This window comes from Homo sapiens, chromosome 21, assembly GCF_000001405.40.
Source record: "Homo sapiens chromosome 21, GRCh38.p14 Primary Assembly".
In the NCBI taxonomy this organism is placed as follows: domain Eukaryota; kingdom Metazoa; phylum Chordata; class Mammalia; order Primates; family Hominidae; genus Homo; species Homo sapiens.
In genome coordinates this window covers 42,890,320-42,914,462 of record NC_000021.9, presented here as the reverse complement: position 1 = coordinate 42,914,462, position 24,143 = coordinate 42,890,320, and the positions used below count along the sequence as shown (strand labels likewise).

General features: G+C 47.6%; 2 protein-coding genes across 5 annotated transcripts in view, besides 2 other annotated features; one reads left to right on the top strand and one right to left on the bottom strand.

Annotated features, from left to right (window-relative positions):
* NDUFV3 (NADH:ubiquinone oxidoreductase subunit V3) lies at window positions 1,164-21,154 on the bottom strand. Of its 4 annotated transcripts, XM_011529586.3 has the most exons (5): window positions 21,082-21,154; window positions 17,416-17,536; window positions 10,187-11,281; window positions 7,561-7,623; window positions 1,164-5,599 (listed from the first exon to the last, which is right to left on the bottom strand). In XM_011529586.3, the coding sequence occupies exons 1-5, from the start codon at window positions 21,127-21,129 to the stop codon at window positions 5,442-5,444; spliced, it is 1,485 nt and encodes a 494-aa protein (XP_011527888.1). In that variant the 5' UTR covers window positions 21,130-21,154; the 3' UTR covers window positions 1,164-5,441. The 4 variants fall into 4 exon arrangements, with proteins under 4 accessions (XP_011527888.1, NP_066553.3, XP_016883848.1 ...); NM_021075.4 differs by lacking the exon at window positions 7,561-7,623; XM_017028359.2 differs by lacking the exon at window positions 10,187-11,281.
* Window positions 20,778-21,027: a silencer, noted in NCBI's record as "silent region_13354". NCBI's record gives its function as "represses an Ori minimal core promoter by ATAC-STARR-seq in GM12878 lymphoblastoid cells {active_cell/tissue: GM12878}" and the evidence as "EXISTENCE:reporter gene assay evidence [ECO:0000049][PMID:35858748]".
* Window positions 21,368-21,667: a silencer, noted in NCBI's record as "silent region_13353". NCBI's record gives its function as "represses an Ori minimal core promoter by ATAC-STARR-seq in GM12878 lymphoblastoid cells {active_cell/tissue: GM12878}" and the evidence as "EXISTENCE:reporter gene assay evidence [ECO:0000049][PMID:35858748]".
* Window positions 21,465-24,143, top strand: part of WDR4 (WDR4 tRNA N7-guanosine methyltransferase non-catalytic subunit) — a 49,905-nt gene continuing 47,226 nt past the window's right edge. The window contains exons 1-2 of the mRNA XM_024452048.2: window positions 21,465-22,055; window positions 22,880-23,070. The gene's annotated coding sequence lies outside the window, so the exon portion shown is untranslated. The remainder of the gene's footprint in view (window positions 22,056-22,879; window positions 23,071-24,143) is intronic.

The following is a 24,143-nucleotide window of genomic DNA, read 5'->3' as shown; positions in this document are numbered from 1 at the left end:
TGTGTCCTCCAGGTTCTTGGTTTATCTTCTGTTTACTTGTTAGGGTTTATAACACTCTCATTCTGTCTTGTAATCTCCATAGTTGTTTAGCCTTAATTCACAGGCAAATAGGTTCTAAGGTCTCCCCCAGTACTACTGTGGCCTTCAATTCTTGATTTTTTTCTTTTTTTTTTTTTTGAGATGACTTTCGCTCTTGTTGCCCAGGCTGGAGTGCAAGGGCGTGGTCTTGGCTCACTGCAACTTCTGCCTCCCAGGTTCAAGCGATTTTACTGCCATAGCCTCCCAAGTAGCTGGGATTACAGGCGCCCGCCATCATGCCCAGCTAATTTTTGTATTTTTAGTAGAGACGAGGTTTCGCCATGTTGGCCAGGCTGGTCTGAAACTCCTGACCTCAGGTGATCCACCTGTCTCGGCTTCCCAAAGTGCTGGGATTACAAACATGAGCCACCGTGCCTGGCCCAATTTTTGAATTTTTAATGTTAGTTCATCTCTTGTTTGGCTGGATTTCACTGTCTAGTTTTCCTCCCACGAAGGGCTTGAGGAGGTGAGAGTCTCTGAATACAGGCAGTTGAAAGATGGCATATATGGGCCAGCACGGTGGCTCCTGCTGTAATCCCTGCACTTTGGGAGGCTGAGGGGGAGAGATAGCTTGAAGCCAGGAATTTGAGACCAGCCTGACCAAAATGGTGAAATCCTGACTCTAGTATAAACACAAAAATTAGCCAGGCGTGGTGCCGTTTCCTAAAGGATTGGCCTCAGCCACTTACTCAGCCTGAGGCTGCTCTGAGACTGCAGTGGAGAGCCAAGGGGCTGTGGCTTCCTCAAACCCAGATGCTGCTTCAGCCCCGGTGCCTCTCACACCCATCCGGAGGCCTTGAGGACTGCCCCGCAGGGCTCCCTCCACCAGTGCCCTGTGCTCCTGGCAAAATCCCTTTCGACATCCAGGTTAGGCATCATGTCCTTCAAAGCCTTCTCTGATGAATCCCCATCTTTGCCTCTCCCCAGACAGCTCCCCTGCCTCTGCCTTCTACGTCTGTTATCCGGCACATCGCCATGCATCTGTCTCTCAGCTGCCCCCTTTCCCAGGCCATACACTCAGAGAAGGCAGGCTGTCTCGATCACGTCTGAACCCGTGGCCGAGGCATAGTGCCTAGCATATAGTAGGCATTTCAAATAATGTTTATTACAGACAGGTCTCTAAGGGTGAAAATTACACTAGAAGGAACACTGTTTTAGCAGTTGTGAATTTTTTATATCCTATTGCTTCAGATCCGTTCTAGAATAAAGGCCAAGGTCAGGGGGAAAGGGAAGGAGGGTCAGGGAGAGAAGGTGGTAGAACCAAGGAAGCTGAGCACTTAAAACACCCACTTATTTAATTTAATTAATTAATTTATTTTTTGAGACGGAGTCTTGCTCTGTCGCCCAGGCTGGAGTGCAGTGGCACAATCTCGGCTCACTGCAAGCTCTGCCTCCCGGGTTCACATCATTCTCCTGTCTCAGCCTCCCGAGTAGCTGGGACTACAGGCGCCCACCACCACGCCCGGCTAATTTTTTTTTTGTTTTTTTTTTTTGAGACGGAGTCTTGCTCTTTCGCCCAGGCTGGAGTGCAGTGAGGCTATCTCGGTTCACTGCAAGCTCCGCCTCCTGGGTTCACGCCATTCTCCTGCCTCAGCCTCCCAAGTAGCTGGGACTACAGGCGCCCGCTACCATGCCCGGCTAATTTTTTGTATTTTTAATAGAGACGGGGTTTCACCGTGTTATCCAGGATGGTCTCGATCTCCTGACCTCGAGATCTGCCCACCTCAGCCTCCCAAAGTGCTGGGATTACAGGCGTGAGCCACCGCACCTGGCCAATTTTTTGTATTTTTAGTAGAGACAGGGTTTCACCGTGTTAGCCAGGACGGTCTCGATCTCCTGACCTCGTGATCTGCCCACCTCAGCCTCCCAAAGTGCTGGGATTACAGGCGTGAGGCACTGCGCCCGGCCTCCAACAGAACGTGGGAAATCACATAGACCCAAACAATGGCCCCTTGGGTGACCACTGTATTGCCACCAGATGGACTATCAAGAAATCATCTGCAGTGATAGCTACAAAATGCAGAGCTGTGCTTGGTGCTGGCTATTCGGTTTTAAGCCCTTCCAATGGGTGGAGGAGAGTAAACCAAAATCCCAGAAAGACTAGCCCAACAGGACTAGTTCTAAGGGAAGAACTTTATTTTTTTGAGACGGAGTTTTGCTGTTGTTGCCCAGGCTGTAGTGCGATGCTGCAATCTCCACTCACTGCAGCCTCTGCCTCCTGGGTTCAAGTGATTTTCCTGCCTCAGCCTCTTGAGTAGCTGGGATTACAGGCATGCACCAACACGCCCGGCTAATTTTGTAATTTTAGTAGAGAGGGGGTTTCACCATGTTAGTCAGGCTGGTCTCAAACTCCCAACCTCAGGTGATCCATCTGCCTCAGCCTTCCAAAGTGCAGGGATTACAGGCATGAGCCACCGCGCCCAGCCAGGAAAGAACTTTATACAAGTCTCATGCTTTATCTTAAAAATATATGCAAATCAAAATATATTCATGTTCATTTTAATATTAAGGGAATTTCCATTTCCAAAGCATCACCGCCCATCACAGTAGTTCCACGGATCCCAGCTTGAGAACTATTAAATGAAAAACCAAAAAATGCAAATAGCAGGATAGAAAAGTTGTAGGTACATTAAAATGGTTACACCTACCACCACCACTGGGGAATCCTGTAAGATGTTAATGGCTGGGAATGGGGGCTCACGCCTGCAATCCCAGAACTTTCTGGGGCCGAGGCAGGCAGATCTCTTGAACCCTGTCTCTACAAAAAATAGAAAAATTAGGCGGACATGGTGGCCAGTGCCTACAGTCCCAGCTACAAAGTGGGCTGAGATGGGAGGATTGCTTGGGCCTGGGAGGACGAGGCTGCAGTGAGCTGAGATCGCACCACTCCTCCGGGCAAGAGTGAGGCTGTCTCAAAAAAAAAAAAAAAAAAAAAAAAAAAAAAAGGGTGGGTTAGCATAGTGGATTTTAGGTAAGTTTACTATTTTCTTTTTGGTAATGTAGTTTTACCACTTTTATTATAAAAAATGTGTTTAGAAGAATCTGGCTGAGTTGCTAAGTCTCCCGTGTGGTAACACAATTTGAGGCAGATGACCACAATACTAGTTTTCAATTTTGATATTTAAAAAAAAAAATTTTTTTTTGAGATGCAGTCTCACGCTGTCACCCAGACTGAATGCAATGGCATGATCTCGGCTTACTGCAAACCCCGCCTCCCGGGTTCAAGCGATTCTCCTGCCTCAGCCTCTTGAATAGCTGGGATTACAGGCACGCACCACCACAGTTGGCTAATTTTTGTATTTTTAGTAGACACAGGGTTTCACCATGTTGGCCAGGCTGGTCTCAAACTCCTGACCTCAAGTGATCCATCCGCCTTGGCTTCCCAAAGTGCTGGGATTACAGGCGTAAGCCACCGTGCCCTGGCCCTCACCTACATTGGTTACTTTCTCTAAGTCAGACTGGGGGTCTGTCTCTGCAGAGTGCTGGGGGAGCGTGCTCCATGTGATGCACAGGAGCCCCCCACATTGCCCCCAAAGGTGTGACTTAAAGTTATCTATCACAAGGGATGGGAGGTTACTTGGCCAACCCAGAAACCCTAAATAGGTAAAATAGCTCATTGAGTGCCTGTGGCCAGCGGGGAGCAACTTCGTCCCTGCACCGCACAAAACTTCACCTCTTCCTACTCCGTCCCTGCACCGCACGAAACTTCACCTCTTCCTACTCCGTCCCTGCACCGCACGAAACTTCACCTCTTCCTACTCCGTCCCTGCACCGCACGAAACTTCACCTCTTCCTACTCCGTCCCTGTACTGCACGAAACTTCACCTCTTCCTACTCCGTCCCTGTACTGCACGAAACTTCACCTCTTCCTACTTCGTCCCTGTACTGCAAGAAACTTCACCTCTTCCGAATCTCACCAATGAAAATGTCCTCAAGTTTATATAAAATATCTAACAGAGGCAAACAAAACAATTCCCTTCCTTTTCTGATGGTAAAATACTGCAATACAATTTGTTTGCAATGCAGTAGTTAAAATTAGTAACATTCCTGTTCCTTTTTTTTGATTGAGTTTCACTCCTGTTGCCCAGGCTGGAGTACAATGGCACGATCTTGCTCACTGCAACCTCCGCCTCCCAGGTTCAAATGATTCTCCTGCCTCAGCTTCCTGAGTAGCTGGGATTACAGGTACCCACTAGCATGCCTGGCTGATTTTTGTATTTTTAGTAGAGATGGGGTTTCACTATGTTGGCCAGGCCGGTCTCAACTCCTGACCTCAGGTGCTCCACCCGCCTCGCCCTCCCAAAGCGCTGGGATTACAGGAATTATCCACTGCACCTGGCCAAAACTCCTGTTTCTAATGATCAAAAACCAGGGCTGTAGGATTAGAAGTCACTATTACTGGCTGGGTGCAGTGGCTCACGCCTATAATGCCAGCATTTTGGGAGGCTGAGGCAGGTAGATCATGAGGTCAGGAGTTTAAGACCAGCCTGGCCAAGATGGTGAAACCCCATCTCTACTAAAAATACAAAAAAAATTAGCCAGGCATGGTGGCGTGAGCCTGTAGTACCAGCTACTCAAGAGGCTAAGTAAGGCAGGAGAATCACTTGAACCCAGGAGGCGGAGGTTGCAGTGAGTTTAGATTGTGCCGCTGGACTCCAGCCTGGGAAACAGAGACTCCATCTCAAAAAAAATAAAAGAAGTCACTATTACATTATTGATACTCAGCTGATAATCAGTTTAATGCGAAATTGACTAGGCTGAGCACAGTAGAATCACACCGCTCTAAAGCACTTAAAATTCTCTAATTATATGGATTTGCCCAGTGATTCATAACCTTAGAGTTTAAGAAAAATTCCTTGCACATAGTAGATATTCCAAAATATATGTTGGATAATCAGTGTTACTGTTGCTAATTCACCACTCACTGTAAAAAGTGTGAAAGTGGCCGGGCGCAGTGGCTCACGCCTGTAATCCCAGCACTTTGGGAGGCGGAGGTGGGCAGACCATCTGAGGTCAGGAGTTCGAGACCAGCCTGGCCAACATGGTGAAACCCTGTCTCTACTAAAAATACAAAAGTTAGCTGGACCTGGTGGTGAGTACCTGTAATCCCACCTACTTGGGAGGCTGAGGTGGGAGAATCACTTGAACCCAGGAGGCGGAAGTTGCAGTGAGCCGAGAATGTGCCACTGCACTCCAGCCTGGGTGACAGAGTGAGACCCTGTCTCAAAAAAAAAAAAAAAAAAAAAAAGGTAAAAGTGAAACCGATTATGCACAGCGGGCCTTGTGACTCTTGAGTGGATTTTATTTTTGCACTCCAGGATGCAGTGAAGACGGTGGAAGGTTCATCTTCACACCGAGGGCCCTCAGTGTCGAGGTGACTCCCGGCCTGAGGAGGGCTGAGGCATCCTGAATTTTGAGAGTTCGAGGTTGAGGTCTAAGAAGGTGTACGTGCTGTAGTCATGATGCTGCAGGTTCTTGTAGGTAGTGTTGTCAAACGGCTCAGCAGGCACTGGGGCTGGCTCTGCGGAGGAAACACGATGCCCATGAGACCAACACAAGGACAGCTCTTTATGAATGACTCGGCTCACACACAGGCGCTTACCTACCAAGCATTCTTCATCATCCCTATCTGTGAACAGCTCTTTATGAATGACTTGGCTCACATACAGGCGCTTACCTACCAAGCATTCTTCATCAACCCTATCTGTGAACAGCTCTTTATGAATGACTCGGCTCACACACAGGTGCTTACCTACCAAGCATTCTTCATCAACCCTATCTGTGAACAGCTCTTTATGAATGACTCGGCTCACACACAGGCGCTTACCTACCAAGCATTCTTCATCAACCTATCTGTGAACAGTTCTTTATGAATGACTCGGCTCACACACAGGTGCTTACCTACCAAGCGTTCTTCATCAACCCTATCTGTGAGGAACAAATTGTCTAATTAAAAAAGAAAAGCCTACAAAAGCCACAGTAAAGAAAAAGAAAGATATTACTTGGAAGTTTATTCTAAAACATACAGCCTTCCAATTTAAGAAATGGAATAGTTATTACAATGCGTTTTTTTTTTTGAGATGGAGTCTCACTCTGTTGTCTAGGCTGGAGTGCAGCGGTGCGATCTCAGCTCACTGCAAACCTCCACCTCCCAGCTTCAAGTGATTCTCCTGCCTCAGTCTCCCAAGTAGCTGGGATTACAGGCGTCTGCCACCACGCCTGGCTAATTTTTGTATTTTTAGTAGAGACGGGGTTTCACCATGTTGGCCAGGGTGGTTTCGATTTCCTGAGCTCAAGTGATCTGCCCGCCTCGACCTCCCAAAGTGCTGGGATTACAGGCGTGAGCCACCATGCCAGGCCATACAACGTGTCTTAACATCTTAGTTTGTATACTTCTAGGCTTCTCAAAAGTTTGAAAATGCCTAGAACAATTATAGCAGGACTTTCAGGTAACTTAGAGATGCATGATAAAATCTACCTCTATTAGAAATCTGGGCTGGGCATGGTGGCTTACGCCCATAATCCCAGCACTTTGGGAGGCCGAGGTGGGAGGATTGCTTGAGCTCAGGAGTTCTAGATCATTCTGGGCAAAATAGTGAGACTCTGTCTCTACAAAGAATAAAAAATTAGCAGGGGCCAGTAGCAGTGGCTCACACCTGTAATCCTAGCACTTTGAGAGGCTGAGGCGGGCAGATTGCTTGAGGCCAGGAGTTTGAGAGCAGCCTGGCCAACAAGGTGAAACCCTGTCTCCACTAAAGTTACAAAAGTTAGCAGGTGTGGTGGCATACTCCTGTAATCCCAGCTATGTCAGGAGGCTGAGGCACAAGAATTGCTTGAACCCAGGAGGCAGAGATTGCAATGACCTGAGACTGCATCACTGCACTCCAGCCTGGTGACAAAGTTAGACTCTGTCTCAAAAAAAAAAAAAAAAAAAAATTAGTAGGGCATGGTGGCACACCTGTAGTCTCCAGCTACTCAGGAGGCTGAGGTGGGAGGATTGCTTGAGACTGGGAGGTGGAGGTTGCAGTGAGCTGAGATCACATCACTGCACTCCAGCCTGTGGGACAGAGCACGTCTGTCAAATAAAAAATTTTTTTTGAAAAGCTTAAACTAAAGGAGCCTTCTGAATCTCTGATACAAGAAAATTAGATAAATTCTAATAACAACAACACAGCATTTAAACATTTGGTAATTCGAAACTACAAGTAGGGGTTGAGGCAAAAGAAGTACTGGTCTCCTGCAGCAGGACACACAATATAACATAATGGCAAAATCAAAACCAGCACGGGAACACAGGCTGATATTTGGGTTAAGATTTGTACTGACTCAATTTCTGTAAATCAGGTCATTAGGTCTGTCTTAACTTCCATTCATGCTCCACAAAAAAATAACCTAAATACATTTATTTTCTCACTATTTCAATTAATATCAAAAGCTCTGTTTTTCATTTTTAAGTTACGTTAAGCAAAAACGATGTCTCATTTAAAGAGCTGGCATCCTTCCAATCTCCACAAGGTGAGTATCTTCGGTGTGGTGTAGGGACACCTTCAAAGCAGAACGTACTATTTTAGTTACTATAGGGAGGGTGATAACTGACCAAGACGTGGGTTACAAAACTCTGATCTAAAACCACTCTACCTGGAAGGCCAGTACTGGGGCACGGACTGCCTAGTGAGACCGCGGCCCCATACAGACACGGCTCTGCAAGGTGGGCTCTGCGCATGCGCACAGAAGATAGTTAAGAAACAACACACCCGTGAAATATTAGAACTTTCTCTTCAGAAAGGTTTGCAGTCTGAAAACTCCCAATTCTGTTTTTATCCTGCGAGTTGTGTTATTCGTCTCCATTTTCGAGCAGGAGGAGTGAAAGCAGCAGCATCAGGAAATGCAGTTCCTAAGGGCTGGGAAGTCTGGCAAGCACCGGCACTTGGCGTACTGATCAAAGAGCAGACGGAGAGGGGGGAAAACACATAGATCCTGTCGCACAACGAACCAAGAACAAGAAGGCGTCATGTAAGGCACATAAGGCAAGGGGCGGCGGTACAGAGGATGGAGAGCAGACACAGGACGGAGCCGCGCTTGTTAGGGATCATGCACTTTAGAGAAGTCTTCAAGAAGAGCCATGGATTCTAAAACGGAAGCTTGCCTTTTCATGTTTGCCACGACCCACCTAAAGCGCATTGCATCTTATCAAGTTTCGTGCTCAAGAAAATGGTAACATAGCTGGGCGCAGTGGCTCACGCCTGAAATCCCAGCACTTTGGGAGGCAGAGGCAGGTGGATCACCCGCGGTCAGGAGTTCGAGACCAACCTGACCAACATGGCAAAACGCTGTCTCTACTAAAAATACAATAATTAGCCAGGCGTGGTGGCAGGCACCTGTAGTGGCACCTACTCAGGAGGCTGAGGCAGGAGAATCGTTTGTACGTGGGAGGTGGAGCCGGCAGTGAGCCAAGATTGCGCCACTGTACTGCAGCCTGGGTGACAGAGTGAGATTCCATCTCCAAAAAAAAAAAAAAAAATGGTAACATCATAGGAATAAATACTGTTGCCCTTTAAAAGCCTCCACACGCTAGGCACGGTGGCTCATGCCTGTAATCCCAGCACTTTGGGAGGCCGAGGCAGGTGGATCACCTAAGGTCAGGAGTTCGAGACCAGCCTGGCCTACATGGTAAAACCCTGTCTCTACTAAAAATACAAAAATTAGCCGGGGGTGGTGCCACACGCCTGTAATCCCAGCTACTTTGGAGGCTGAGGCTGGAGAATCACTTGAACCCAGGAGGCGGAGGTTACAGTGAGCCAAGATTGCGCCATTGTACTCCAGCCTGGGCAACAAGAGCAAAACCCATGTCAAAAACAAACAAACAAACAAACAAACAAAAAACCCTTCATAAAATGTCTTCTAGAAGAGTAAAGCAGCCCACATGTGTTTTCAGTTAACCAGAGAAGGAAACGCTGTCCAGGGGAAAGGATGCGTATGCAGCGGCTGACCTGTACAACACTTACTGCTTTAATTCCTGAACTATGAATCTGCCCTGTGCACAGGATGCTGAAAGCAATCATCTAGTTTACCCAAAGACTCTCACGCCAAGCGACTAGCTACTGCTCTTCACCTATGCAAGTTAAACCGGAGGCTCCCCTTTTCACTTAGCGAGATGCCCCACAAGGTCATCAATGAACACTTGGACACCTTCAAAAGTCAGTGGTGACAATGTTAAGCTGCCAGTTTTCAAAAATTATACCGGTTAAGAAATAGTGAAGAGTGCCAAGGACATACTCTTTAAGATGAAGGTTGGGGGCCGGGCACGGTGGCTCAGGCCTGTAATCCCAGCACTTTGGGAGGCCGAGGCAGGCTGATCATGAGGTCAGGAGATTGAGACCATCCTGGCCAACATGGTGAAACCCCGTCTCTACTAAAAATACAAAAATTAGCTGGACATGGTGGTGGGGGACTGTAATCCCAGCTACTCAGGAGGCTGAGGCAGGAGAATGGCTTGAACCTGGGAGGCAGAGGTTGCAGTGAGCCAAGATTGCACCATTACACTCCAGCCTGGAGATGGAGCAAGACTCTGTCTCAAAAAAAAAAAAAGATGAAGGTTAAGCAGGGTGGGGTTGCTCATGCCTGTAATCCCAGCACTTTGGGAGGCCGAGGCGGGTGAATTGCCTGAGGTCAGGAGTTCGAGGCCAGCCTGGCCAACACGGTGAAACCCCATCTCTACTAAAAATACAAAAAAAATTAGCCAGGTGTGGTGGCCTGCGCCTGTAATCTCAGCTACTTGGGAGGCTGAGGCAGGGGAAGTGCTTGAGATGGAAGTTGTAGTGAGCAGAGATCGCGCCACTGCACTCTACCTGGGCAACAGAGCAAGACACCATCTCAAAAAAAAAAAAAAAAAAGAACGTTAAATATTTTAGGGATTCTAAATATAAAGATGTGGATTGTCCATAATTAAGACATACTTTTCTGCCTGGCTGAGACAGCGTTACAGGCCATATTTCTAGTACAGAATTTGACTAATTGTAACACTGCTCTACAAGCATATGTAAATTAGTTCTTTTGCCTCACTACCCTAAGGGACAGGGTGCACTTGGGAGCGCGAGTCAAGGTATACCCTGTGTGCCGCCTCGGTCGTCCCCTGGCGCGGCTGCATCTTCCATGGCCTCGCCCTCGGCCTCAAGCTTCAGCGCTGCTGTCTTTTCATGGAAACCGTGGTTATTCTCAACAGGAACTGTCTCCAAATTGCTTGGTGGTATCTGATCTTCCACGATTGCCTGTCCACCCTTCAGGTGGCCTTCTATTCCCTGCGTCCCTGAGGTTTCCTTTCTGGGCAGGGGAGGGGCCGCCTTGCGCTGGGGCTCTGGCACGGGTTTTTCCAGATGCCCCTCTGCCGCCCCAGGAGGACTGGCTTGCAGCTGCCCCTCTGCTCTGGCCTCTTCTGCCAACACAGCAGGCGCTGGGCTGCCCTTCGGTGGCGCAGACAACCCTGATTTTGTGTGGACAGGTAAGGGTCCTTTAACTTCAAATGGCTTTTGGCTTTCTTTATCTATTTCATTTAATCTAAATGTTTTCTGCAATTGTTTTTCCTTTAAACTTTGCTTCAAAAACTCTTCATCTACTTGAGATCTGGGCATTGTGGTTTTTGGTCTCGCATTTTCCCTGCCTTCTGATGGCTTAGCAGGGGACCCTTTCTTCTTTGGCTGGTGGGGCTTCTCTGGATCAGTAATGTCCACATGCGGCTTCTGCAGCAAGGTTTTCTCTTTTGCTGATACTGTAACTCGGGGGGCTCTGTTTTCAAAGGAATGAGAGGCCTCTGGTTTTCGAAGCCCCCCTCTGCCTTTGCTCACCACTCGAGGAGTGACCTCTGAAACGTCAGCCTCATCATCAGATTCAGAATCAGAGGAGCTGGAAGAGGATGAAGACGAAGGCGACGTCACTTTCCGACCCACCTGACGAGCTTCTGAATCAGAGCCCTGTTTTCTGAATGGAGACAGAACTTTCTGTGGAAACTCTACCAAAGTCTTTCTTGACAAAAATTTCGGAACCCCTTCATCTGTGAATAGCACGCTGCCACTGGGACTGGGACTAGCTACCTTCCTGCCCTTATTCACAGCTGGCGGGTAAGAACTGGGTGAAGATAAGTTTTTAGACAATTCAGCTGCTGTCTGGGTGGCTAGGAGCTTGCCCCTCTCCTTTGGTTCCACTACATCTGGGAAACGGCATAAAGAGGAATGTTATTTAACAAAACAACTTAAAACTCAGTCAAAATTACAGACATTTCATGACACATTACTTATTACTGACAGTATCTTCAATGCAATCATCCTAAGACAGGTCCCATAGAAACCCACCAAGCAACCAACTGAGGATGGAAAATGTTCAGAAAATCATCTGCTTTAGTACTGAACATGAACAAACTTTTTTCCTTGACATTATTCCCTAAACAATACAACAACTATTTACATGGCATTTACATTGTATGAGGTATTATAAGTAATCTAGAGATGATTTAAAGTATACAGGAGGATGTACTTAGATGATATGCAAATACTGCATCACTGTATATCAGAGACTTGAGCATCTGCACATTTTGGAATCCTGGTGGGAGGGGTGGCCTAGAACCAATTCCCCTCAGATACTGAAGGATGACTGTATAATAAAACACAAAACTACCGACCTAAGACTAGCTGTGTAGGCCTATCTCACAGCCTGAGATGGGGACTTTCAGAGACTGTTTCTCTTCTCTCAGAGACCATAACAAACTATGTAAAATAAAGGTTTACAAATACTGTACTAGTAATTAGTGAAAGCAGGAATTCGCCTTGTTGCTTCCCTGTCACCTCAAAATAGAACTCAAATTTCCTGAATCTCTTTTCTGCTTAGTTGAAAAGTGAGGGCATGGCCTTCAAGTTTTTAGTGATCCCCCTATCAAAAGTAAAAAGGGTTAGGGTGTGAAACATAGATTAGCAACCTTAAAATACTTGCACATCTTGTCAAAATATCACAAAACTAACTTTGGAAACAAGGCACATTCAGAAACAGAGGTGCATTTAAACATTACATTAGAGAATAAAGTTACTCAAATTTTATATGGTAATGGAAACCTCTACAAGTGTTTCACTATAAAAAGTTTTTTTTTATTTTTACTTATTTTATTTATTTATTTATCTAATTCTTCTTTTGAAATGGAGTTTCACTCTTGTTGCCCAGGCTGGAGTGCAATGGCACGATCTCCAGTCACCGCAACCTCTGCCTCCCAGGTTCAAGCAATTCTGCTGCCTCAGCCTCCCGAATAGCTGGGATTACAGGCATGCGCCACCACACCCAGCTAATTTTGTATTTTTAGTAGAGACAGGGTTTCTCCATGTTGGTCAGGCTGGACTCGAACTCCCGACCTCAGGTGATCTGCCCGCCTTGGCCTCCCAAAGTGCTGGGATTACAGGCGTGAGCCACCGTGCCCGGCATTTTATTTTTAAATAAACACATGAGAATCAAGAATTTTCAGAAGGAAGACAGCACAGTGATTAAAATATAAACCGCACTGCCAGAATGCCTGGGTTCAAATCCAGGCTTCTCCGCTGACACCTGTGTGGACACTGCATGACTCAGGCAGGTCAGTCCCTCCAGACCTCAACTTCCTTGTCTATGACATGGGGATAGCAGTAGCATCTACTCCCTGGGTTGTTGAGGACTGGGGAAGATGAGATATGGGAAGAGTGCTTAGAACAGTGCCTGGCACTGCTTGTTATAATTTGATACGTAAAATTTCGTTTTCTTTTTTTTTTTTTTGAGATGGAGTCTAGCTCAGTCACCCAGGCTGGAGTGCAGTGGTGCAAATCTCGGCTCAGTGAAACCTCCGCCTCCTGGGCTCAAGTGATCTTCCTGCCTCAGCCTCCCGAGTAGCTGGTACTACAGTTGTGTGCCACCACGCCTGGGTAATTTTTTTTTGAGATGGAGTTTCACTCTTTTGGGTCAGGCTAGAGTGCAATGGCGTGATCTTGGCTCACTGCAACCTCCACCTCCTGGGTTCAAGTGATTCTCCTGCCTCAGCCTCCCGAGTAGCTGGGACTACAAGCATGCACCACCACGCCCGGCTAATTTTTTTTTGTATTTTTAGTAGATACAGGTTTTCACAATGTTGGTCAGGCTGGTCTCGAACTCCTGACCTCAGGTGATCCACCCACCTCAGCCTCCCAAAGTGCTGGGATTACAGAAGTGAGCCACTGTGCCTATTTTTTTACTGAGCCACTATTTACACTGTGTGTAAATAGAAATTACGTGAAATTTCTATTTCCAGATATTCCTTACTTTTAAAACTGAAACAAGGACTTCAAATGGATAATTAACTGTGGCTTCTGGACATACTCTTCAAAAAGCTACACAGAAATTACTCAGTCAACAATTTATTACTGACTGTTGCAAAATTAGGCCTGGGTACTGGATTCAAGGAAACAGCAAGCTAGAGAGCCCAGCGGTTCCCCAAGGTGCACCTCCAAGAACATCCAGCCCCTGATATCTGTGCCGGCAGCCTTCCTCAGGGAGAACGCATGTGCTGGGGAAAGCTGGACACCTCTGATGAAATAAGGCACAGCATGTCCCATCGCGCCAGGGTCTTGTCCTGTGGCAGACACTCTGACTAGAGATGTGACTCCAAGGATGAGAGCTTTGGGTACCTCACTTGCATGCAGGAAACTTCTGTTAGAGCTTCCAAAGCCACTTCTGGCTGAGAAAGGTTTGATCTGGCAATGTGCCATGGAGGGTGAAAAGTTCCTCTGTATCTTACACTTACCAACTACCAACACTTCAGGGGAAAATATGGGCCTGCACGTATCCATTTACAAGCATTATTTATTTTTCTTTGTACAGGGATTTTTTGTTTGTTTGTTTTGAGATGGAGTGTCGCTGTGACACCCAAGAAGCAGTGCAATGGCACAATCTCAGCTCATTGCAACCTCTGCCTCCTGGGTCCAAGCGATTCTCCTGCCTCAGCCTCCTGAGCGACTGGGATTACAGGCGTCCGCCACCATGCCCAGCTAATTTTTGTATTTTTAGTAGAGACAGGGGTTTCACCATATTGGCCAGGCTGTTCTCGAACTCCTGACCTCAAGTGATCGGCCCGCCTTGGCCTGCAAAAGTGCTGGGATTACAGGTGTGAGCCACCATACCCAGACTCAGTATTTATTTTTGTCGAGACAGGGTCTCACTCTATCACCCAGGATGGAGTGCAGCAGTGGTGCAATCATAATTCACTACAACCTCGACCTCCTGGGCTCAAATGATCCTCTCGTCTCAGCCTCCTGAGTAACTAGGACCACAGGTGCACGCTACCATACCCAGCTACTTTTTAAAGTTTTTTCTAGAGATAGGTTTTCACTATGTTGCTCAGGCTTGTCTCAAACTGCTGAACTCAACTGATCCTCCCGCCTCAGCTTCCCAAAGTTCTGGGATTATAGGCGTGAACCCCCACGCCCAGCCTGTACAGGAATTCTTTTAAAAATTATGAGATACATGGCCAGGTGCGGTGGCTCATGCCTGTAATCCCAGCAACTTTGGGAGGTTGAGGCAGGAGGATCATCTGAGGTCGGGAGTTCAAAACCAGCCTGGCCAACATGCAGAAACCCTGTCTCTACTAAAAAATACAAAAAATTGGCTGGGTGCAGTGGCTCACGCCTGTAATCCCAGCACTTTGGGAGGCCAAGGCGGACGGATCACGAGGTCAAGAGATGGAGACCAACCTGGCCAACATGGTGAAACCCCGTCTCTACTAAAAACAGAAAAATTTGCCGGGTTTGGTGGCGGGCACCTGTAGTCCCAGCTATTCGGGAGGATGGGGCAGGAGAATGGCTTGAACCCAGGAGGCGGAGGTTGCAGTGAGCCGAGATCGTGCCACTGCACTCTAGCCTGGCGACAGAGTGAGACTTTATCGCAAAAACAAAACAAAAAAACAAAAAATTAGCCAGGCGTGGTGGTGCATGCCTGTAATCCCAGTTACTTGGGAGGCTGAGGCAGGAGAATTGCTTGAATCAGGGAGGCGGAGAGGTTGTGGTGAGCTGAGATCACGCCATTGCACTCCAGCCTGGGCATAAAGAGCAAAACTCTGTCTCAAAAAAAAACAAGATACAACTGTTCTGTGTATTGATGAGCTTAGTTCTGAAAACTGTCCTCCCACCTGAAAGCTCTCTGCAGTGTGTGCAGTAGCTACGTGTATCCCACTGCAGCCAGTCTCACAACCACCCAGCAAGGCTGGCATGATCATCCTGCTTAAGCACAAAGGAACCGAGGCTCAGAGGCCTGCAGGGCCCGTCAAGGACAGAGGCAGGAGCTCCATGAGAGCCCAAGGCTCGCTCCCAGGTCAGTGTTCCCCTCCCCAAACCACAACCCAGATGGCCACAGAATGAAGCACTCCGTTTCCACTCACACACAGACGCATGTATCTAAAAAGGGGGCTCTTTGGCTCTGCCATGATATTTTAAAATCCATTTAATCCAAATTCATAAGTCTATGATGTAGGATTGCAGACACAGACTAAAATTCACCAAAGGAGAGGATAATGTTAGCAATGAAATTCAACTAATTGTTCATCAGTAAACATTTAGAGAATGTCAAAAACATGCCAGGTAGGCTGGACACAGTGGCTCACACCTGTAATCCCAATACTATGGGAGTTTGAGGCAGGGAGATTGCTTGAGCCCAGGAATTCAAGACCAGTCTAGGCAATACAGTGAGACTTCATCTGTATGGAAAATTAAAATATTAGCCAGGGTGTGATGGTGTGCACCTGTAGTCCTGGCTACTCCAGGGGCTGAGGTGGGAGGATCACTTGAGCTTGGAAGGTCGAGGCTGCAGTGACCTATGATTGTGCCTCTGTACTACAGCCTGGGTGACAGAGCAAGACTCTATTTCAAAAAATAAACAACAACATCAACAAAACATGCCAGGGATATGCCAGGAGTGGTGGTATGTGCCTGTAGTCTCAGCTACTCAGGAGGCTGAGGTGGGAGGATTGCTTGAGCTCAGGAGTTTGAGGCTGTAGTGAGCTATGACTGTGCCACTGCACTCCAGCCTGGGAGAGAGAGCCAGAGCCCCTCTCTTAAAACAAATAACATAAAAGGAAGAAGAGAAAAAAACAATGATTGAAAAACGAGGCAGGAGTCATAGCACAAAACTAAATAACATTCCCGTGGAATCCAAGCCTCAAGTCCACACACTGTGAGAGGCAGTCAGGGGCTGGCACTCTCTTTGTATAAATACAAATATTTAAAAACTTACCAGTGTTCTGTGCACAGACCAAGGAGGAAGAAAACAAAAGAATCTAAATACTTTCAAACATTCAAACTGAGGAAATAGTATATTGATGAAAATAAGACCAAACTCAATTACTATTCTACAACCCCATATAATGATTAAAGATTTAGGACTGGGCACGGTGGCTCACGCCTGTAATTCCAGCACTCTGGGAGGCCAAGGCGGGCGGATCACAAGGTCAGGAGATCAAGACCATCCCGGCTAACATGGTGAAACCCCACCTCTACTAAAAATGTAAAAAATTAGCTGGGCATGGTGGTGGGCGCCTGTAGTCCCAGCTACTCAGGAGGCCGAGGCAGGAGAATGGTGTGAACCCAGGAGGCGGAGGTTGTAGTGAGCCGAGATTGCGCCACTGCACTCCAGCAGGGGCAACAGAGCAGGACTCCATCTCAAAAAAAAGAATTAAAGATTTAGGCCGGGCGCAGTGGCTCACGCCTGTAATCCCAACACTTTGGGAGGCCGAGGCGGGTGGATAACAAGGTCAGGAGATTGAGACCATCCTGGCTAACATTGTGAAACCCTGTCTCTACTAAAAATACAAAAAATTAGCCAGACGTGGTGGCACATGCCTGTAGTCCCAGCTAGTCCTGGACTGGGATTAAGCAAAGCCTGGAAAACCACAGATGGGTCTCAAAGAGACTGAAACAAAACAAAACAAAACAAAACAAAACAAAACAAACAACTCAGCATCAGAGGATGGAAAGTAAGGTGGCTTTCTGGCAAGCTCACTGTGCCGGGGCCATCTAAATGCCACAGAGCCTTTACCAAGGCATCACTCACTTCAGGTTGGGGTTTGGCATTTAGAAAATACAGGAAAAACCATTTCAGGGCTAAATATTCAGTCAAAGACTACGACATGACTGAAATGTTTGGTCTAAAATCTGTTATAGATCTTGTGTCTTGTATAATCTGGACACTGCTGAAAAGGAAGAAGCATAAATTACGTAGCTAGTAAAACTCACTGTCGTGCTTCGAAGGCTGACTAATCTATTTTCTTTTTGCATTCTCTTTCCCTTATGACTACCATCAAAATCTTACTTTTTGGTGGACTTTGCTTCTTGGAATTCTGTGGCTGACCCTTTTCACTCTTCCCTGATTCCGCAGACAAAGAAACCGTAGAAGCAAGTCCTCGAAACACCTGGGCTTCCTGGAGCATAGTCTGACAAAAGAATTAATGAATATGGATGTTTAGAGTAATGCCATTATAATAGCTGGTACTATATATGAATATATATATATATTTTTTGAGTCAGGGGTCTCTCTCAGTCGTCCAGGCTGGAGTGCAGTGGCACAATCATGGCTCACTGCAGCCTTCAACTCCTGGGTCCAAGCGATACTCTGACATAGCCAGGACTACAGGCACATACTACCATGCCTGGCTAATATTTTTTATTTTTTATAGAGACGAGATCTGGCTACGTGGCCCAGGTTGGTCTCAAACTCCTGGCTTCCTCAAACTCCTGGCCTCAAGCGATCCTGAAGCCCCGGCCTCCTGAAGTGCTGGGATTGGCCAGGTGCGGTGGCTTACACCTATAATCCCAGCACTTTGGGAGGCTGAGGTGGGCGGATCACTTGAGGTCAGGAGTTCTGAGACCAGCCTGGACAACCCCGTCTCTACTAAAAATACAAAAAAAAGGCCGGGCGCGGTGCGACTGTAATCCTAGCACTTTGGGAGGCCGAGGCGTGTGGATCATGAGGTCAGGAGATCGAGACTATCCTGGCTAACACGGTGAAACCCCGTCTCTACTAAAAATACAAAAAATTAGCCGGGCATGGTGGCGGGTGCCTGTAGTCCCAGCTACTTGGGAGGCTGAGGCAGGAGAATGGCGTGGACCCAGGAGGTGAAGCTTGCAGTGAGCCAAGATCGTGCCACTGCACTCTAGCCTGGGCGACAGAGCAAGACTCTGTCGCAAAAAAAAAAAAAAAAAAAAAAATTTAGCCAGGCACGGTGGTGCATGCCTGTAGTTCCAGGTACTGCAGAGGCTGAGGCAGGAGAATTGCTTAGACTCAGGAGGTGGAGGTTGCAGTGAGCTGAGATCACGCCACTGCACTCCAGCCTGGACAACAGAGTGAGACTGTCTCAGGAAAAAAAAAAAAAAAAGAAAAACAACCAAAGTGCTGGGATTGTGTGCATGTAGGTACCGTGCATATGAATATTACATATTACCACTACATGTAAGTGCAAAACATTCACATGGTATACTTCTAATGGTTATTACAGTTTTCATAATGTATGTATATTATGGACATTTTGTAAAATACAAAAAGGCTGCAAGAAGAAAACACCCGAGTTCAAGGACAATCACTATTAATATTTGGTTTAATAAAACTTCAACCAGACGTTCTCCAGTGCATTTTTTTTGTAGTCTCCAATTATTTATTAACCTACAAAATACCACGTTTCTTCTTTTTTCTTTTCTTTTTTTTTTTTTTGGAGACAGGGTCTCACTCTGACTCCCAGGCTGGAGTGCAGTGGCTCAATCTTGGCTCACTGCAACCTCCGCCTCCTGGGTTCCAGCGATTCTCTTGCCTCAGCCTCCCAAGTAGCTGGAATTACAGGTGTGCACCACCGCACCTGGCTAATGTTTTTGTATTTTGTTTTTTGAGATGGAGTCTTGCTCTGTCACCCTGGCTGGAGCACAGTGGCGCAACCTCGGCTCACTACAATCTCCGCCTCGTGGGTTCAAGCAATTCTCCTGTCTCAGCCACCCAAGTAGCTGGGATTACAGGCATGCATCACCATGCCCGGCCAAGTTTTTGTATTTAGTAGAGACGGGGTTTCACCATGTTGATCAGGTTGGTCTCGAGTTCCTGGCCTCAGGTTATCCACCCACCTTGGCTTCTCAAAGTACTGGCATTACAGGTGTGAGCTACCGCGCTTGGCTCTTCTTGTATTTTTAGTAGAGATGGGGTTTCACCATGTTGGTCTCGAATGCCTGACCTCAAATGATCCACCTGTCTTGGCCTCCCAAAGTACTGGGATTACAGGCATGAGCCACCTGCCAGGCCCTATGTTTCTTTCTGTAAAATGTTTTCTTATCCTTAGAAAATAGAGTAGAAGAAATACTATCTGGCCACTAAAATGATGTAGGTATATAAAAACTGCTTCAAAAGTGTCTACAATATAAATGTGATATTTTATATTATGCCAACTCACTCAGCATATACTCACTAAGGCCTATTAAGTGCTAGACAGTACAATGTTCTAGATGCTGGATACAGAACAGAGGTGCCTGTATGTGCACATATAAACATGAAAACGTGTATGTTCATGATTGTAAGCATGAGTACATGTGCTTATGTGAACATATAAAAGCTGATAGAAATCGTTAGGAACTAGATGCTTGAAGGAGTAATGGTAGACTGTCAATGAATTTCCCTATCTGTACTTTTAAATTATTCTGCAGGCTGAGGCACGAGAGTCGCTTAATCCCAGGGGGCAGAAGTTGCAGGGAGTTGAGATGGTGCCATTGCACTCCAGCCTGGGCCTGGGCAACAGAGTGAGGCTCTGTCTCAAAAAAAAATATATATATATTATATATTATATTATGATATATATTATATATAATATATAAATATATATTATATATTATATAAATATATAAATATATAATATATATTTATATAAACATATTATATATATTATATAATATATATTTATATAATATATTATATATTATATAAATATATAATATATATTTACATATTATATAAATATATATATAATATATATTTATATATAATATATATAATATGTATTTATATATATATATACACACACGCATATATATTCTGCAGGGAATAGTTACTGCTTTTGTAATAACAGCCATTTTAAAATTTGTAAGAGAGTGAAGTGGTCTTAGCCTTATTTTATTTATTTATTTATTCTGTCCCCCAGGCTGGAGTGCAGTGGTATGATCTCGGCTCACTGCAACCTCCGCGTCCCGGGTTCATGGGATCCTCCCACCTCAGCCTCCCGAGTAGCTGGGATTACAGGAATGCACCACCACGCCAGACTAATTTTTTGTATTTTTTAGAGACGGGGTTTCGACATGTTGGCCAGGCTAGTCTCGAACTCCTGAACTCAAGCGATCCGCCTGGCTCGGCCTTCCAAAGTACTGGGATTACAGGCAAAATCCCAAAGTGTCCGCGCCCGGCCTTGGCCTTAGCTTTTTATTTGCCGAAAAGAAAGCCCTTCTTCTCCTTTTCACAGGTCAGGTCATGTCAGCTGGCTTCTCAACGGCTGTCAGTAAGTTACCAAGTTAACCAGGTCCCTGAAAGTTCCCTCATTTCCTCTCTTGGCTAAATGGAGAAGTCACTGTCCTTCAGAGAAGCCGTGCGGGAGCCGCACAGCGGCTGACCCCAGCCGCGCGGCAGCATCACCTGGGAACGTCCACCCGAGTCTGCCGCCCAGGCATGCAGCCCTCGGGAGCGCCCGTCGGCACGGGGCACGCCAGCCTCGGCCTGGGCCTCGGGCAGCGGCGGCGGCGGACCGGCTCGGGGGAACCGCGGGACGCTCGCTGGCCACATCCGGGCCTGGCCCCGTGGCGGTCAGTCCTGGGCCCAGGGAGCGGGGTCAGCGGCCCAACTAGGACGGCTAGAGGTCGCGGACAGGCCCGGACCTGACCAGCACCGCGCCCCCTCACCCCATCCCCTACGTAGGCTCGGGGCCGCGCAGCCAGCCCAGGCTGGCTCCTCCTTTACCTTCAGCGCCCCGGCTCGTCCTTGCCGCAGCAAACACGGGGCAGCCATGGCGGTGACAGCGGGCGCACCAAGCAGGGCCACAGCAGCTGCGCGCGCACCCGCGCCTGAACAGCCGCCCCTTGGGCCGACTGCGCCAATTACAGGCCAGCTGGGGGCGGAGCAGAGGCCGTGGGTCTGCGCGCGCATCCCCAGTAGGGCTAAGTGCCTCCCTTGGGGCCACGCCCCGGATCGGGACCACCAATCACAGGCAGCAGCGTGAGGGACACGTCACCGGCTGGTGCCGATCCCTGTGCCCTGCGGGCGCCTGGGCGCTGTGGCGGGGGCGCGGCGGAGACCTGCGGGGGCTGCTGGGCACCCCTCTCAGGCGTCTGCGCTGGGCCGGCTTGCATGTCCACCCGAACGCTTCGCACTTCTTTGCCCTTGTCCTCGCAGCCTTAAATCTGCGACCTTCCCTGGGGGCACAGTCTGGTCCTACTTGATTGATAGTTCTGTGTTTTGAGAGGTTTTAAAGCTCTTCAGCTCGGGACCTCGGCGCCCACACCACGCGCCCAGCTCCCTCACCCTCTGTCGGCAACGCGGCCACCACTGCTCACTGCCCCTCCTGCATGGCCCCTGCCAACGCTAATACCAGAGTTAGGCCGATTGGAAATGGAAGCTTTGTTTCACCTAAATGTTTATTTAGCAAAGAGTTCGTCCCCAACGTTAGTCGTAATTGTGGAGTCGGTGTAATTAGTTATTAGCTTCTTTCTCTGCCTCTTCTCTGCCTTCCGCCGCGTGCCCAGAGCCCCATTCGCATTTCATCGGAGATGGACGTGCCACCTTCAGCTTCCACAGGGGAAGAGGCCCTGCCACAGTCATTTAAATGGATTGTGTAGGGATTCCTGACACAGCTAGCGATTCATTGAGGTGGCAAGATAAACTGGCGGAATGAGGCCTTTATCAAAGGCCTTTATCAAAGAGGAGTCTGCTATCAAGTAAATGCAAGGGCATCTGCCACCATCCACCCTGGGAGGCAAAAAGAATAACCTTAGATCTTAGGATAATCATGAGAAGGGATCCTTTGTCCCTAAAGGGAGAAAAAAAAATGCCAAAAGATTTTTTTTTTGTTTAAATTTTTTTTTTTTTTTTGAGACGGAGTCTTGCTCTGTAGCCCAGGCTGGCGTGCAGTGGCGCCATCTTGGCTCATTGCAAGCTCCGCCTCCCGGGTTCACGCCATTCTCTTGCCTCAGCCTCCCGAGTAGCTGGGACTACAGGCACCCGCCACCACGCCCGGCTAAATTTTTGTAATTTTTAGTAGAGACAGGGTTTCACCGTGTTAGCCAGGATGGTCTCCATCTCCTGACCTCGTGATCCACCCGTCTCGGCCTCCCAAAGCCCTGGGATTACAGGTGTGAGCCACTGTGCCTGGCCTAAATTTTTTTTTTTGAGACAGAGTCTTGCTCTGTTGCCCAGGCTGGAGTACAGTGGCACAATCTAGGCTCACTGCAAGCTCCACTTCCTAGGTTCAAGCGATTCTCCTCCCTCAGCCTCCTGAGTAGCTGGGACAACAGGCATGAGCCACCACGCCCGGCTAATTTTTGTATTTTTAGTAGCGACGGGGTTTCACCATGTTGGCCAGACTGGTCTCGAACTCCTGACCTCAAATGATCGCCCGCCTCGGCCTCCCAAAGTGCTGGGGTTACAGGCGTGAGCCACTACACCCGGCCAGATTTTTTTTTTCTTCACCACTAGGCTCATTCTGTTGTGTCCAGGGAAAAGGTCATGCTCGCCTTTGTGAGGTGTGCTTAATAATTCACAGCTTAGTAACAAATTTGGGGATCCTGATCTGGAATTGGAAGATCCACGTCACCCTCCTTCATGGACCTGGAGCTCCCCACTTCCACACCACCACCAGCGGGCACATGCGGCAGATGTTGACATCTTGCTGGAGTTGCAACACTCAAGAAGAAACAAAAAGAAAAGACCTCCTCTGGCGTGGTCACCGGCCAGGTTGGTAAAGGTGGGGTACCTATGGTTGAGGGGGCATGAACCATCTTGATTTTTTTTTTTTTTTTGAGACAGAATCTCACTCTGTTGCCCAGGCTAGAGTGCAGTGGCGCAGGGGCAATCTCGGCTTACTGCAACCTCCGCCTCCTGGGTTCAAGTGATTCTCTTGCCTCAGCCTCCCCAGTAGCTGGGATTACAGGCGCCGCCACCATGCCCATCTAATTTTTGTATTTTTAGTAGAGATAGTGTTTCACCATGTTGGTCAGGCTGGTTTGTAACTCTTGACCTCAAGTGATCTGCCTGCATCGGCCTCCCAAAGTGCTGGGATTACAGCCATGAGCCACTATGCTTAGCCATCTTGATGGTTTTTGAAGGAAGTGATTAGGGCCTCGAAAGGTAACTAGGGCAACCATGTGTGAGGCCAGTGCCTAAGACTAGAGGGAGCAGGAAGGCTGGGAAGCCTATGCAGCCTGGTTGGGAGGTAACTGTGGCCTAAACTGTGTTTGGCCAAAGAGAAAGGACAGGGCCAAGTGCAAGAAGCAAATATAAGGTGCTGCATTAAAATAAAAAAAGCAGAGGCCAAATACATTATTGTATTTTCCAATCAGCTAGAAAATAGTAGACTAGATTTTTCCGACAGCAGAGGCTGTTCCTCCAGTTAACTCTCTGCCCAGAGTCTTTCTGTGGGCACCATCAACTCTGCCTGTAGCTCTAGCAAGTAGTACCCAGCATTTTAACACAAAACCTTAAAAGTGTATGTTTGTTTATATTCCTTTCTTTGTAGATCACACAAAGTTCTACCTGAACTACTAGAGGCTCCCCCTTGTGTCTCCCAAGGGTCAGTTAAACTTCTTTTTTTTGAGACGGAGTCTCGCTCTGCTGCCCAGGCTGGAGTGCAGTGGCGCGATCTTGGCTCACTGAAACCTCCGCCTCCTGGGTTCAAGAGATTCTTCTGATTCAACCTCCCGAGTAGCTGGGATTACAGGCGTGTGCCACCATGCCCAGCTAATTTTTTTGTATTTTTAGTAGAGACAGGGTTTCACCATGTTGGTCAAGCTGGTCTCGAACTCTTGACC

Bases quoted from the DNA above. Each gene is read 5' to 3' on its own strand.
- NDUFV3 (XM_011529586.3), bottom strand. From the start codon at position 21,129: ATGGCTGCCCCGTGTTTGCTGCGGCAAGGACGAGCCGGGGCGCTGAAG. The intron at 11,282-17,415 runs GTAAGATTTTGA...GCCGTTTCCCAG, and splicing joins GAAGCAAAGTCCACCAAAAA to ATGTAGTGGAACCAAAGGAG. The intron at 5,600-7,560 runs ATGAGACATCGT...TTTCCTCCGCAG, and splicing joins GAAGGATGCCAGCTCTTTAA to AGCCAGCCCCAGTGCCTGCT.